Source organism: Homo sapiens, chromosome 6 (genome assembly GCF_000001405.40).
Source record: "Homo sapiens chromosome 6, GRCh38.p14 Primary Assembly".
In the NCBI taxonomy this organism is placed as follows: Eukaryota; Metazoa; Chordata; class Mammalia; order Primates; family Hominidae; genus Homo; species Homo sapiens.
The window spans coordinates 153,356,300-153,373,045 of record NC_000006.12 but is presented as its reverse complement, the minus strand read 5'-3'; the positions used below and the strand labels follow the sequence as shown (position 1 = coordinate 153,373,045).

The window sequence follows — 16,746 nt, the reverse complement described above, 5'->3', positions numbered from 1 at the left end:
TTACTGCTTTTGGCATTAAGAATATAGTTTCTTAATAGTTTTTATATATTTAAAACAATGTATCTTTGTCAGTTCACTAGGATATACCCGAGTCAATAATTTTTTAACTCCTGAAAACCAGCACATTACTGATTCCAGGAGCCATTTTTTTAATCTCCATATATTCCTTTGATACTTTATCTATTCCTACATTCTAAAATAGTTCTATTACACAGATGGACCCTTCCTATTTATCCAGTCAAACCTTGTCTCCAGATAAGGTATGCTTTGTCTAATATCTGTGGAACACATGGAGTGACATAACCTGCCAGCTGTCAAGCAATATATTCAAAGTGAACCTCTCATGTCTCCCTCATCTTTCAAAGCGATTAATGGCTTCTTTATTCTGTAAGTCACCCAGATTCACTATTTTGCAGGTGTCTTTGATTCCTTCTAAATCCCTCCTAAATTATCAAGTGGGTCTTTCCCTCCTGTTGGCAGTGATGCTGCAACTACTCTTTAATTGTCATAATTTCCATTTTCACTATTACAGGAGTCTTGTTGCTCCACTCACCTCTAGTCTTTTCTTACAATTGATGCTTCTAGATAATTCTTTTCTTTTCTTTTCTTTTTCTTCTTTTTCGAGACAGAGTCTCACTCTGTTGCCCAGGCTGGAGTGCAGTGGTGCAATCTCAGCTCACTGCAACCTCTCCCTCCCCAGTTCAAGCAATTCTCTTGTGTCAGCCTCCCAAGTAGTTGGGATTACAGGCGTCTGCCACCACACCCAGCTAATTTTTGTGTTTTTAGTAGAGATGGGGTTTTGCCTTTTTGGCCAGGCTGGTCTCGAACTCCTGACCTCAGGTGATCCACCCACCTAGGCCTCTCAAAGTGCCGGGATTATAGGCATGAGCCACCACCTGGCCTGGGTCTTGTTTTTTTTATCCAGCTTGCTACTCTGTGACTTTTAAGTGGGACATTTACGCCATTTATATTCAAGGTTAGTATTGATATGTGCAGATTTGATCCTGTCATTTTGTTGTTAGCTGGTTATTATATTAGCTTGTTCGTGTGGTTGCTTTACAGTGGCACTGTGTGTTTAAGTGTGTTTTTGTATTAGCTGGTAGCAGTCTTCCCTTTCTATATTTAGTGCTCCTTTCAAGATCTCTTGTAAGGTAGGTCTGGTGGTAATAAACTCCTTCAACAAATGCTTATCTGAAATGAGTCTTATTTCTCCTTCATTTAGAAAGCTTAGTTTGGCTGGATATGATTTTTTTTTTTTTTTTTTTTTTTTTTTTGAGATGGAGTGTCCCTCTGTAACCCAGCCTGGAGTGCAGTGGCATGATCTCAGCTCACTTCAACCTCTGTCTCCTGGGTTCAAGGGATTCTCCTGCCTCAGCCTCCCGAGTTGTTGGGATTACAGGCACCCACCACCATGCCTGGCTATTTTTTGTAGTTTTAGTAGTGACAAGGTTTCACTATGTTGGCCAGGCTGGTCTCAAACTCCTGATCTCAAGTGGTCCACCACAATTCCCAAGTGCTGGGATTACAGGTGTGAGCCACCATGCCTGGCCCACTAGATATGAAATTTTTGGTTGAAGATATTTTTCTTTAGGAATGTTGAATATAGGCCCCTAATATCTTCTGGCTTGTAGGGATTCAGATGAGAGGTCCTCTGTTAGCCTGATTGGGTTCCCTTTGTAGGTGATGTACCCTTTCTCTCTGGCTGCCTTTAACATTCTTTCTTTCATTTTGACCTTGGAAAATCTGATGATTATTTGTCTTGGGGATAATTTGCAGGGGCTCTCTGTACTCCCTGAATTTGACTGTGGGCCTCTCTAGAAAGGTTGGGAAAGTTTTCACAGAATATCCTGAAATATGTTTTCCAAATTCTTTGCTTTCTTCCCATCCCTTGCAGGGATATCAATAATGGAAAGATTTGGCCTCTTTTCATAATCCCATACTTCTTGGAGATTTTGTTCATTCCTTTTTATTCTTTTTTCTTTTTTTTCTGACTGCCTTATTTCAGAGAACCAGTCTTCAAGTTCCGAGATTCTTTCCTCAGCTTGGTTTATTCTGCTGTTAATGCTTGTTATTGCATTGTAAAACTCTTGTGTTATTTAGCTCTGTCAGATCTGTTGGGTTCTTTTTGATACCGGCTATTTCATCCTTCAGCTCCTGTATTGTATTACTGTGATTGTAGTTTCCTTGCATTGGGTTTTGTTATTCTCCTGAATCTCGATGATCTTTCCTATCCAAATTCTGAATTCTATTTCTTTCATTTCAGCCCAGTCAGGCTGGTTAAGAACACTTGGAGAACTAGTGCAGTTGTTTGGCAGACATGTGGCACTCTGGCCATTTGAGTTGCTGGAGTTTTTGTGTTGGTTCTTTCTCATTTCTGCATGTGGGTATTCCTTTAACTGCTATGTAGATTGATTACAGTCAATAGACTTCATTTCTTGATATTTTTTACAGGGCCCAGGCTTTGTGCAGGGTCTTTATTTGGAGTTTTTTGTCTTTGGTTTCAGAGGGGCCATCTTAGCCAGGTATTTTTGGTGTTGAGCTTTAGGGTGTGATCCACTGGTGATACTTAGGTGTGTTGGTTGGTTGTTAGACTCTTGCTTAATTGTGTGGCTCCCCTGTTTCCTCACAGTTGCAGCCGTGTTCCCTCTCAATGTTCCGAAAATGTGGGTTCCTCTCCCCCTTGAGTGCTGGCTTTAGATCATGGCTTGGCACTTCAGGGCTGCCCACTGCAGCTCTGGGGCAATCTCAGTGTTTATATTTCTTCCCCAAGGAACAGAGGCAGGCATAGAGGAAGGTACCCTATTAGTAGTTGTGGCCAAGGGTCTTTTGTCTGCCTTCTGGGGGCTCCACCCCAGAGAGACGCAGGTCCACAATTGCTCAGTGCAATCACCCCAGAATGGAGGGCCTTTGCTATGGGCCCAAACCAAGGGCTTCCTGTCTAATAACAAGCAGTGAGGTATGTGGGAGTCCCATGGGAGATGGACTGGCCTCCTCTCCTTGGGTAAATTGCCGCTTGTTGGCAATGTGGATAAGACCCTTAGGGTCTTTGCTTCTTCATTAGTCCGAGGGTGGCAAGGGCAATGCCACTACAGAGGCAGTGATAGACAAGCTTTCAGCTGACCCTGGGGGCTCTGTCTAGAGAGTTGCCGAGCTGCTACTAGCTCAATAGCTCTGGGAGGGCGGTGACTACAGGCCCAGGGCGGGAGAACCTGCCCAGTAAGGAGATAGGGGAACAGGCATCCATTTAACAGTTGGTTCACTTTTCTGCAGGCCTGCTGTGGTATGCTGGGGCCCCACTCCAGTCCCTAATCACCTCAAGTTTTCCAGTACCTGGAAGTATCAATGGTGAAGGCTGTGAAACAACAAAGATGGCAGCCTGCCCCTCCCTCTGGAAGCTCTGTCCCAGGGAAGTACAGACCTGTTGCCAGCCTGAATGCACCTGTAGGAGGTGCCTAGAGACTCTGGTTGGGAGGTCCCACCCAGTGAGGAGGAATGGGACCTATTTTAAAAAGCAGGGACCCATTTTAAAAAGCAGTCTTGCCATGTTTTTGTAGAACAACTGTCCGTGCTGAGGGTCCTCTTCGGCCCATAGGTCACCTCGAACACTCCAAAGCCCAAAGGCCAGAATGGGTAGGTTTCTGGAATGGCAAAGACGGTGGTGGTCTGCCCCTCCCTGTGGAAACTCTGTCACAGGGAGGTTTGAAGCCTCCGTCAGGGAGAATACCAGCAGGGGTAGCTGGAGACCCCAACTGGGAGGTCCTATGATTTTTCTTAAAGGTGGTAAAATATTAGCTTTTATTCCACTGTGAAAGGGGATGATCATCACAAAGACACCATTAAAAATAGTACGAAGAGAAGGAGGCAAAAACAATATATAAATTATAATGTCATAATGAATATATTCAATAATTCAACAGAAAGTCAAAACAAAGCAAAAAAACAGAGCAGACAAACATAAAACCAACAATAAAATGGTAGGCATAAATCTAACTACATCAAAAATAACTCCTATTAAAATACAGGAATTATCAGATTGGGGCAAAAATCAATTATATGCTATCTCCAATACAATCACTTTAAATACAATGATTTGAATAGGTTAAAAATAAAAGGATGTAAAAAGATACACGATACAAACACAAATTATAAGAAAACTGCTACCGTAATTTTAAGATCAAAGTAAATTTCAGAATAAGGAAAATTACGAGGGAGGAGCATTATAAAATGATGAAAGAGTAAGTTCACCAAAAACCATAAATGTCCTCAGTGTACGTCCCTAAAACAGAAGTTCAAAAAACATGAGGTAAAATTAATAAAGCTGAAGAAGAAATATTCAAAGCACAATTATATTTGGAGACTCTTCTCTATCAGTAATTGGTAGGACAAAAAGACAAAATTAGCAAGCATTTAGCAGTCATGAACATCATAGGCCAACTGGACCTGACTGTGATGTTACAGTAGGTAGCCTGGAGCAAGGCAGGAGAGGGCTCCCCACAACACACACACCAGGAGTGTTGGGCAACCATCAGGTGATGGTCAGGCGGTTGTTAACCGTTTCTCTAAAGTAATAATTGGTCATGGCTGGCACCACAGAAAGGCAGTCTCCTAATAGGTAGAAAACACTCGAAACTGATCAGCAGCTTCCCAATAAGATCCCGGAGTTATGCCAACCTATAGAACCCCAAGTCAAGAGGTCAGGCTATGCACTTGACTTCTCAAGTTGCCTGCCTGGCCCTTGAGAAACCAAGTGCACAGCTTGACCTCTTGTACTTTCAAGTTGTACTTTCCTTCTTTTCTTTCCTTACTGTTCTAAAGCCTTTTAATAAATTTTCATTCCTGCCCTGAAACTTGCGGCAGTCTCTTCTTCTGCTTTATGCCCCTCAGTCAAATTCTTTCTTCTGAGGAGGCAAGGACTGGAGTTGCTGCCAACTCACACAGATGCACCACAGGTAACTTTGGATAACTTGGATGTCTTCCACCGCTAACAGTGATGGTTAATTTTATGTGTCTATTCGGCTAGGTGATGACACCCAGATGTTGGTCAAATACCAGTGTAGATATTGCTATGAAGGTAGATCTTAGATTGATTAACATTTAAGCCAGTAGACTTTGGGTAAAGCAAATTATCTTCCGTAATGTAGATGGGCCCTATCCAATTAGTTGAAAGCCCCTGGAACTGGTAGGAATTGTGCCTCCCAAACTACAATATCAGCTCTTGCCAGAACTTCCAGCCTGCAGCCTGCCCTGTGAATTTCAGACATGTCAGCCCCACAGTTATGTGATCCAACTATGTATATAAATATCTCCTATTGGTTCTGTTTCTCTGGATAACCCTGACTAATACGCTGAGATTTACAGAACAGTCCAGCCAACAACAGCAGAATATACATTCTTTGCAATGTACATGGAAAGTTCACCAAGATAGACAATATTCCATAAAGTGGGCCACAAAACAAACTTTTAAACCTTAGCAATTTAAAATAAAGGAAACCACAGAAGGTGTTCAGAGACCAAAAGGTAATTAAACTAGGAACCAATAATAGAAAGGTATCTGGACAATTCCATATACTTGGAAGTTTACACACTTTTAAGTAAACTATGGAGACTTCGGCTTCTGAGATAGAGTGATAGGGACCAATTTACTCTCCCACCTGAAAAACAACTAAAAAAAAACTTGATAAAATATATGAAACAGGTTTCAAGACACTGCACATCAGGCAATGAAGGAATGTGAGCTCTTAGAAATGAGAAGCAAATGAGGTGTGTCCTTTGAGTGCTCTCGTTTATTGCTTTGAGAGTTTCCAGACCACAGGGCAGGAACGGAGAGCACAAGTGGAAGGGATGGAGATTTTTGTGGAGAGTCCGTGGAGACCAGACTAGAGTTCCCAGGGCAGCGGATAGGAGAGGAGAGAGCTGCATGGAGAAACAGCTCCCTAGACCTGCAGAAGAGCCCTCACGAGTGTTCAGGACAGCACTGTTCAGCACAGGTATACGAGGAAGCTACCTGAGGCTGGGGAAGGAAACAGACAAAAAGATTTGAGCCAACAGTATACAGATTAGTTCCCATTCCCACCAGCCAGAGGAAACACCTTACAATTCACAGGGCATTTAGTAGAATGCTCAGAAGGATCCTGTTCTTTTGGAGACCAGAGAGCTTTCTTTAAGTAATTTGTCTCCCGTCTGCATTTCCATTGGAAAGAGGATGTATTTCTTTTAACAAATAAATGATTTCTTAAATTTTTGTTAAGAGGAAGTTCTTTGGAATCCTCTCAATGGTCATAATTAGGAGATGCATGCCATACTCAAAATGAGACCTGTTCTGTCTTTCCATGCCCTGAAGCCTTTGAATTCCTGCTTCTATATCATACCAGTAGATTTCTGATGGATAATCTGCTTTCACATGGTTCAATAATAGGTTTAAGTTTGCACAACAACCTAGACCATTGTTATAATTCATGCTCATTAGAACTAACACATTGAATGTAGCCTCTATGATTAAAACACTTATGGAAGCACTTATTCTCATCTAAAATATGTTCACATTTCCTTAGTTGAGCCACCTCAAAACTCATTCCCATAAATATCCTCAGATATGACCCAATATTAATTAGCATATCACTGCTATTCTTTGTAAATATTGACTTTTTCTTCTCTATTCTAATTCTGCATTTAATTACCAGTGAGAGCTTAGATAGAATTACTAGTCTACAAAAGAGCTCTGTTGGGTGGTAGGTTAACAGTTTAGCAGGCCTGGAAGGAATGAGATGAAAACATGTCTCAGCCAAGGGTATAGGATGCTCAGGGCCTGCCCCTTCTTTCTGCTTCCTGCTTTCCCCTTCTCCTGAGTCAGGACCCTGATTCTGAGAAGTTTTCAATTCATCTGCCCTAACCCATCACACACTGGTTCAAGAACCTGAGCACTCACCTAATTTTCTGAATTGCAGCTGCTCAGTAATCATATTTCCTGATTCAACTACTTAATAAGGTTTATGAAAATCTTTCTCAAGAAAAGGATAATTCATTAAAATAACTTACATTAATTTTTTAATGAAACCCTTATTTTACCATTCTCACACTCATTGATTGCATTTTTTAAATTTGTAAGTCTAACAATCCAAAAATCACTTTATAATGGCTACATAAATGATAGTAAAACTTTGTTGTGCCATATGCCAACATTCCAATTAAACTATTCTGTTTTCTCAGATGTATAAATCAATTATGATTAACTATTAATTGATGAGGTCTTTTTAAAAAAGAAATAACAAAAATAATAAAATACTCTTATAATAGACATACTATTGCATTATCTGGAGGACACAAATGGAATGAAAAAATATTTCTTTACAGAGAGTATAAGATGCTGAATTATATTTTTCTAACTCAGTTACAACAGTAGAAAAGAATAATGTAATCAATATCTGTAAGAGACTACTTTATAATGGGCAGCATATTATACTAGCTCAGTTGAAGTATCTCTGCTGAGAAGTCTGTTTATCCTTCATCTGATTTAATTGGGTTGTTTTTCTTTAAACGTTGAGGCAAAGTTTGCAAATTTAGATAATGAAATAAACGTACTATGGTTTTGCCTCATTTGTACTTTGCCACAGCTGATTAAGCCTTCTGATTATAATTTCTGTATTTGTCTTTAGCAGAACAGCAGAACTATGAAACATATTGCCTAAATTGAATCTGTGTTACAAAAATTTTAGGGATAATTAACGAAATTCTCTGTAGGGTATAAAACAACAATAGTTTTAACTAGATTGAATAGAATACATATACATCTATTCGAAATTGTTGTTTCAGGTAGCAAACTTGTTAACCATGTTGATCTGCATTTTTAGTACTTAGTTGCTATAAATAATAAAGCAAAGTCAAAAGTATTCAAAATGCCCTCAAATTTATTTTAAATAGTATAAGGTAGGCACACACCCTGCTGAGCTTCAGTTATATGAACACAATTAACCATATTTCACTAAAGTAATTCTTTGCTAACGGAAGAATATCATTTGCATTCTTTTCTCCAGAGTACAATGGTTCAAAATTTGAAAATCAATTAATGCATTGCACCATAACAAGAGTTTAAATTTAAAAAAATGTATATACCCTGCAAATATTCATAAAAAGGACTGGATGAAATCTCATAGTCATTTCCAATTTAAACTCTCAGCAAACTAGAAACTATATTAATCAAAATAGTGAGGCATAAAGATACACAAATCAGTTAATGGTACAGAACTCAAAAACAGGTTTTCACATATGCCGAGTGATTTTCAACAACGGTACAGAGGCAATTTAGTGGATAAAGGATAATCTTTCAACAAATAGTACTAAACGAGTGAATAAAATTATGCCAAAAGAAAATAAAAAAAACAAGTAAAATGTCTTACTTTGTATTCTGTTGCTCCAACAAAATACCATAGTGAGTATCTATTTCAAAATATTATTTTTTACATTTATGGAATCTGCAAGGTTCAAAAGTATGGCACTGGCAACTGGTGAGGGCCTTCTTAGTGCATGATAACATGGCAGAGGGCATCACATAAGGCATGAGAGCGAGAGTGTGTATCAGCTCAGGTCTCCCTCTTTTTGTAAAGCCACCAGTCCCATCATGGAGGCCCCACCTTCATGACCTTATGCAATCCTAATTACCTCCCAATGGCCTCACCCCCAATCAACACAGAAATTTGGGGATTATGTTTCTAAAACATGAAATTTGAGGGACACACTCAAACCATAACACAAAACAAAACAAAACAATGCAATGACAAAAACTTTGATACACACCTCACACCATATACAAATATTAACTTAAAATGAAACATAGACTTAAAATATACTACTTGAAAATATAAAACTTTTGGAAGCAAAGATAGAAACTTCATGTTCTCAGATTAAGCAAATATTTCTGAGATATGATATCAAAATCATGAGCCATAAAATTTTAAGAGATGATAAATTGGACTTCATCAAAATTAATATTTGTTATTTTGCAATAACAGAAAGAGCCAAAATCACACCACTGCACTCCATCCTGGGTGACAGAGCAAGACTCTGTCTCAAACAAACAAAAAAAACCCACATATCTGAAAAAAAACCTTATATCTAGAATATATAAAGAATACTTAAAAATCTAAAAAATGAAACAAAATTTAAAAGCATACCTAATTTTAAAAAATGGGCAAAAGATCTGAATAAGTGCTTAACCAAATAAAATATATATCTGGAAATTCTGGACCTTAAAAAGTGTTCATCATCATTAATTATCAGCGAAATGTATACTAAAGCCACAATGAGAAGATACACTGAGCAGAATGCATGAAATTAAAAAGACTGACCATACCAAATGTTGACAAGGATGTGCAGCACTTGGGACTCTCATACCCAGATGATGAAAATGTAGAATGGTGCAACCACTTTGGAAAACAGTTTGGTGGTTTCTTAGAAAGGTAAGCATACCATATGACCAGATGGCCCAGCAATCTTACTCTTAGGTGTTAAACCAAGGTAAATGAGAACTTCTTTACACAAAAACCTGTATGTGAATATATATAGAAGCCAAAAACTTTAAATAAAACAAATATCCATCAAAAGGTGAATGGATACATCAATTGTGGTATATCCACACAATGAGATACTACACAGTAATAAAGAGGAATGAACTATTGATACATACAAAAACATGCATAAGCCTCAAAATAATCATACATTAAAGAAGCCAGAGAGTAAAGAATACATACCATTGATTACATACATATGTAAACTTCTAGAAAAAGCCGACTCATCTGTAGTGATAGAAAGTAGATCAGTGGATCCAAGAAGAGCTGGGGGAAGCAGTTAGAAAAGTGTGAGAAGGAACTCTTTAGGTGACAATACTTCAATTATCTTGATGGTAGGATGGCTTCACAAGTATTTTTGTATGCCCAAATCCAAAAACATCTGGAGTCCAAAAACATTTCTGGTGTTAAGCATTTCAGATAAGGAATACTCAATCTGTAGTAACGAATGAAGGGGATAACCTTTGAACAGTTTTCACCTGCTTAACTATTTTTTTCCTGTAATAATTCACTCTTCATTACTCCAGTATAAAATTTCTTTCTCTCCATCACTGGAGAGTCATTAGACCATCTCTATCAAAATCACTAGGGAGATGAATAGCTTTGTTTAAGATTCTAGAAAACTAGACCTACTATCATATTATGGGATATGGCCCAGGGATTTGAATTTTAATAAATATCCAAAATAGTTCTTTTTCATATTAAAATTTGGGAGACACTAATCAATGTGTTTTTCATCTGTTTTTTTTTTCTTTAATAGGATCTTCATGTTGTAGATGTATGTGAAATTGGCCAAAATTTTCATCCCTGTTTATATAAACATTCTTTGAAATGTGACTTTGCAGCTCCTCCAATCAACAGCTAGAATCTGTTTCCCGACCTCTTGAATCAGACTTGCTTTGGCCAATCAATTGCTGTGGAAGTGGCAGTATGCCAGTTTCAAGCCTAGGCCTTAAAAGGACTTGGGCACTTTCACTCTCCTGGAGCCCTCCCTGCAGGATGAGAGGTTTCAGGATAACCTCGCCTTCATAATCAAAATCCACCCCTTTGCTGTTAACCTAAATACACATATCATTTACGTACTTTCACAACTTCAGACTCTCATCTGACTCTTAATAGGCTTGCAACCTTTCTGTGTGTCTTTGTATCATTGTGACTATACTTTCAGTTTAAAGTATTTGTAGCACGGTTGTATGACTATAGAATCTATATACTCCAAACTGGTTTTCAGTAGCTCCAAATTCGTCTTAAAGAAACTACTTATTAATTGAATATGTTTAAATTTATAATATGATGCAACCATATACTATCTGGGAAGGAAGAAATAGCAATAAAATTTCCTCCTTGGCCATGGACTCTTCTCTGCTACACTTTTTGACTTGACAAATTCAGTCACTTATTTACTCAGTTCAGATAACTCCAAAATCTGTATGTCCAACCATGGTTTCCCTTGGAAGCATCTGATACACTGTACCAACTACAGTATGTCCTCACTGAATGTTGTCTACAGGTTCTTGGAAACTGTTCCTTTAAGCAAAATAACTATAAGGAAACCAATTTGACCACAGGCTATTTGATCCAAACAAAAGTGAAATTCCTATGGCATATTTCTGGTTGCAAAAACATCACCAAACTTCTAAATAAAGACCCAAAACACTTCTGACATTGAAACAAATGTGAACTATACATACATTTAAGAATGATTAATAAAAACAAGTAAGATCATGATTTACCCAATTATTCCAGTTCAGGGTTGCAGGTGGCCAGAGCCTATCCCTGCAGCTCAGGATGCCAGGCAGGAAAATGCCCCGGACAGGATGCCATCCCATCACAGGGCGCACTCACACCCACACCACTCTCACTCACACTGGGACTGTGTAGATGTGCTGATGAACCTAACAGGCACATCTGGATGTGGGAGGAAATCAGAGGACCTGGAGCAAACCCAGGCAGGCCTGGGGAAAGCATGCAGACCCCACACAGACAGAGGCCCTGGCTGGAAAGTGATGGGTTTTTTTTGTTTGTTTTTTTAATCTAATTCACATTCTAGTGAAAAAACCCTGGATGAAACAATCTTATTCAAAGTCCTGCTGTACCTATTACCTATTTAGACTTTGAATTCTGTAGGCATCTGTCAAAGTATAAATAAAATACATGGTTATATTTGGGCTTAATAAACTTTTAGCTTTACTTTTTCAAGACATTGTTTAAACTTTTATGAAAATCATGTTATGGCACAATGCAATTTTTTCTCAAACAAAGCAAAGTATATATTTTTTGGAAATGTCATAGCTCTAAAGATTAAACCTCCATGACATAAATAAAGCAATTTGATAGCAAGAGAATGCTTAGAGAATTTTTTATTGAATTTCTGACCTAAGCAACCTACTATTTAATCTTTCAGAGTTAAATTTAACATTTAACAGATTACTTCAACACCTTTATTTAACAGACATACTTTGCCTAGCAATATGGACATTTAATCTGTTTGTTTTGTTAACAGAAGTTATGTGCAACACATCTGAATAAACAAAGATATTTTAAGTTTGTGAGATTTGTTTCAAAATTTCCTCTTAATTAAATCTGTTTATTTGCTTTAAAGCTGACTAACATTTCTGATTTTATATTTTCCTTTTTCAAAGAGAGATTTATAGAGCGATTTCTATGCTCAAAAATACTGATGAGTTTAAAACACAGTATTTCATTTTCTCCAGCAAATCTGAAGTAGAAAATGTTTTCTCTTTTAAAAAGCATTTAACTTGTGGGATGTTCTTTTCACATATCCTCTGTTTATAAATATTTACCAAATAAATGAAGAATAAATACTTTGTTTTTCAAATAAACAATATTGTTTTCATAATATTTATATAAATGACCAATAAATGCAAATAATAATAATAGCAATGCCAGAAAGAGATGCAATAAACAACTTTGATGATTTCAGTCACTAATTCCAAGTTGAGAACTTGATAATGCAGCAAATAATATCCTCATATGGTCTGCATAACAGTTTATTTTAATAACATCTGCAATAGTTTATTTTACAAAGTACAAAGTGCTTCTATGTAATGGCGGGAGACAATTTTTAGGTAGACTGATAATGGGGATGAATTGCCAAGGAGACAAAAACCTCTTCCTTTCACCATTTACATGCATACAATATTTCTGCACTCTAGATCCTCAACAAGTCAGATTACATGTAATCAAAAAATGCCAGGTTTTCAAAATAGTACCCCAACGTGGAGCATTCTGTAAACAACATAAGGACAAAGACCAAGTGGCTTTCTTTCTAATTTTAATATTATCCTTGATACCAAAGATTCTTTTTGTTCATGAATTAAAGTGAGGTGCAGATGGATAGGAGAATAACACAGGGTTAAAATAGTGATAATAAAAAATGTCCTTATTTTGTTTGTGAAATGGTTTATTTTAATAATACTTCTGGATAAATGGTGTGGTGTTTGGCTGCAAATGTCAGTTAATATTTGAAGAAGCCCAATCAGAAACTCCAGAGAGTAGGAGTGTTAAATAGCATAAAGTTTGCTTTCAGCAGAAATTAACACTGTCAGGCATGATTACTTTTCACCCATGGAATGAAATAAAAGTCCAGCAAACATGGAGGTTTTAAGACCATCATTTGTAGCCTTCTACATTCAGAGTCCCTGCATCCCTCCAATCGATGGAGGTCCAATCGTCAGATTCATTTATAAGTATGGACTCTGGCCACTAGACAGTAGTCATGCCTACCTTCCTGCACTTTCTGTGCAAGGGATTAGTTGGAATGCCTGAGGCGCAGAATGGAATCTCCCTATACTTCAGTGTCTGACTGTGTTTGTGCCCACTTGTTAACATATTATAGTAACACATTTTTGGTATGGCAGAATTAGATTGAGGGCTCTCTCTCATTGTAATTTATCACTTGGTAACAAGGTTATGGGAAAAAGGACTGCATAGATGCCAAATTGCTTAACCCTAAAAATGATGAATATTTAAAAAAAGGTCTTGACATTTGCTAAATGACTAAATTGACTAGGAGAAAGATAGCTGAGAATTAAAAATAACATTTCTGTTAGTTCTGCTGACATAGACTTTCCAATTGACTGGTGAAAATGATTATTAACAGTTAACAACAGAATCTTCTAATGAATAAATATATAATTGACTTGATTGCTCTATATGTGTACAGCTGTCTTTCTATATTTCTTCATCTGTTATTTTATGGGGTGAAGTAATCAATGATTATAATTCAGTCATCAAGCATGCATTGTGTTGCTAGTGTGTGCTGAAGAGTATGCTAGAAAATGTAATTAACATGTGAGTCCTTCTCAAAAAAAAAAAAAGATGTGAGTCCTGTCTTAAGGGCATTTATAAGATGGGAAATGAGACAAGCAAAGTGGCAGGTAATACGTAATATAAAACCAGGAAAAGGCCAATTATGATGTTTTGAAGAAAGCATTGTAGGGAAGCAAAGTGCACAGTGTTCTCTAATTCCCCATACTGGAGAATCATAAAAGTTTTCACGGTAAAGCTATATGAATGGATGAGTAAGAGTTTTCTAAGCAAAGAGGGATTAAGGAAAGGTCCTCCAAATAACAGAAATAGCATAGCTCCCTAATAAGAACTCTTAATTCAGAGATGATAGGAAGCTCAAAGTTGCTATAATATGGGAGAGAAAGATGTGAGAAGGAAAAGGGGACACGCTAGAAATACAAGAGGACTTCAAAAAGTTTGTGGAAAAATTGAATTAAAACATAAAAATATAAGCTTTACTTCTCAACATAAGCTTCATCAAGTTCAAGACATGTGTGAATTTGTAAGTGATGATGCCAGCCATGTAGTCCTTACCTAAGGAACTGAGGGTCCTGGGAATTTCACCATGTCAATGCAGTCCTTTTAAATTTTTAACTGAAGTAAAATTGATGCCACTTACAGGCTATTTTAAGATTAGGAAACAAAAAGAAGTCACAAGGAGCCACATCACGACTGTAAGATAAATGCCTAACAATTTCCCATCAAAATGCTCTTAAAATTGCCTTTGTTTGATGAGAGGAATGAGCAGGAGCATTGTTGTAGTAAAGGACTCTCTTGGCCAGACACAGTGGCTCATGCCTGTAATCTCAGCACTTTGGGAGGCCGAGGTGGGTGAATCACCTGAAGTCAGGAGTTCCAGACCAGCCTGGCCAACATGGTGAAACTCATCTCTACAAAAATACAAAAATTAGCCAGGCATGGTGGCACACGTCTGTAATCCCAGCTAATCAGGAGGGTGAGGCAGGAGAATGGCTTGAACCTGGGATGCAGGGGTTGCAGTGAGCGGAAATGGGGTGATTATACTCCAGCCTGGGTGACAGAGTGAGACTCGATCTCAAAAAAACCAAACAAACAAGCAAAAAACTCGCTAGTGAAGCTTTCCCAATTTTTCTGCTAAAGGTTTGGCTAACTTTCTCAAAACACTCTCATAATAAGCAGATGTTATCATTCTTGGTCCTTCAGAAAGTTGACAAGCAAAATGTCTTGAGCAACCCTCAAAAAATCCCTCAAAAAACTTGCCTCGATCTTTGCTCTTGACTGGTCCACTTTTGCTTTCACAGGACCACTTCCACGTCTTAATGTTGCAGGACTCTTCCTGAGCTTAGCTAAAGATGGGCTCCTTGTCCCACGGCCATGAAAGTTTAGGCTCACAGGCGGTGTGAAGAGCTTGAAAAGCAGGGTTTCACTGGGTGAAAAGGAAGAACAGGGGGTAACAGGGACTCTACAAAAGGACAGAGTCCCTGCTAGAGTGCTTCCTGCCTCGCAGTTGGAATCCCACGTCCCACACATGATTGCAGCTCCTTTCTGCTGCAATCGGCAGGAACTTCTATGGTTCCACCCCAGTGTGCCTACTCTTCCCAGTGTGGAAGTCAGTTGGAGTTTTGCCAGGGATCCCTCCCACGTGGCTGTCTCATTCCCCACTCTAACGAAGTACATCTAATTGGCCACTAGAATAAGGATAAGGATGAAGACTGATCTTAACTGCTTCTTGCTGACAGTGGAGAAACGGCAGCCAGAGCTCCCTCAGAGGTCTATCTAAGGGTTCCCAGCAGAAGAGGCCATTGTCAGAGTCTCCAGTTGCATGACCATTGGAGTTTGATGGCCTGAAGGCAAGAACAGACAAACCGCGTTATTAGGAAACGTGTCAAAACATGTGTCAAACGGGAAAGGGTAATGGCAGCTCAAAAATCCTGAGGCCTTTTACCAGTTTGCACAGGGAAAGGGAGGCCAAAACCTGACAGGCAAAATAACTTTACTCTTTTGCTGGCATGTTGGGCTTCTGGATTCCCTTCCCCTGAGCCCAATCTTTTTTTTTTCTTTTTTTCTTTCCTTTTTTCTTTTCTTTTCTTTTCTTTTTTTTTTTTTTGAGATGGAGTCTCGCCCTGTCACCCAGGCTGGAGTGCAATGGTGCGATCTTGGCTCACTGCTACCTCCAACTCCTGGGTGCAAGCGATTCTTCTGCTTCAGCCTCTTGAATAGCTGGGATTACAAGCATGTACCACCATGATCAGCTAATTTTTGTATCTTTAGTAGAGACGGGGTTTTACCATGTTGGCCAGGCTGGTCTTGAACTCCAGACCTCGTGATCCACCTGCCTCGGCCTCCCAAAGTGCTGGGATTACAGGCGTGAGCCACCATGCCCAGCACCTCTGAACCCAATCTTAAACCAACCAGTTTAAGGTTTGGGAAATTAGTTCTTTCTAGTTTGAAGGATACATCTGAGTGGAGTAACCTGTAGTATGGAGACACAATTACCTATCAGTGAAGAGAGGACAGGAGGAGAGAGGACAGGAGGAGAGAGGAAAAAGAAGGTGTTTTTCAAAGGAGCTCCAGGGGTTCAGGATGCATTTGAAATGGGTGGAGACTGAAGATGAATGGCTACCCATCTAGAAAGAGGAGAGCAGGCATCCCAGTTTCTCATTTCTTCCTAGTAGATACCCTGGGAATGTGAGGGAGAGAAGGAAGAGTGTCCTCTTTCCCTCTTCCATCCTTCCATCCTCGAGTTCTGGTGACCTTGGCATGTCCCCCCTTGAGTGTCAAAGTGGCTTACACCGATGAATCAGGGAGGTATGGGGGTAGGAATCATCTGCTCTTACCCATGTACGCCCTATCTCCCCTGTTGTCAGTAGCCTTGAATTCCCTAGAACTCATTTAT

At 38.8% G+C, this 16,746-nt stretch overlaps 2 long non-coding RNA genes across 4 annotated transcripts in view; one reads left to right on the top strand and one right to left on the bottom strand.

Moving 5' to 3' along the window:
- LOC105378066 (uncharacterized) overlaps positions 1-16,746 on the top strand; it is a 122,515-nt gene that overhangs the window by 54,119 nt on the left and 51,650 nt on the right. The window lies entirely within an intron of this gene.
- Positions 3,689-12,064, bottom strand: LOC107986661 (uncharacterized). The gene is made up of 3 exons (XR_001744421.1): positions 11,294-12,064; positions 9,744-9,827; positions 3,689-6,010 (listed from the first exon to the last, which is right to left on the bottom strand). It is a non-coding gene; the product is annotated as an uncharacterized LOC107986661 (long non-coding RNA).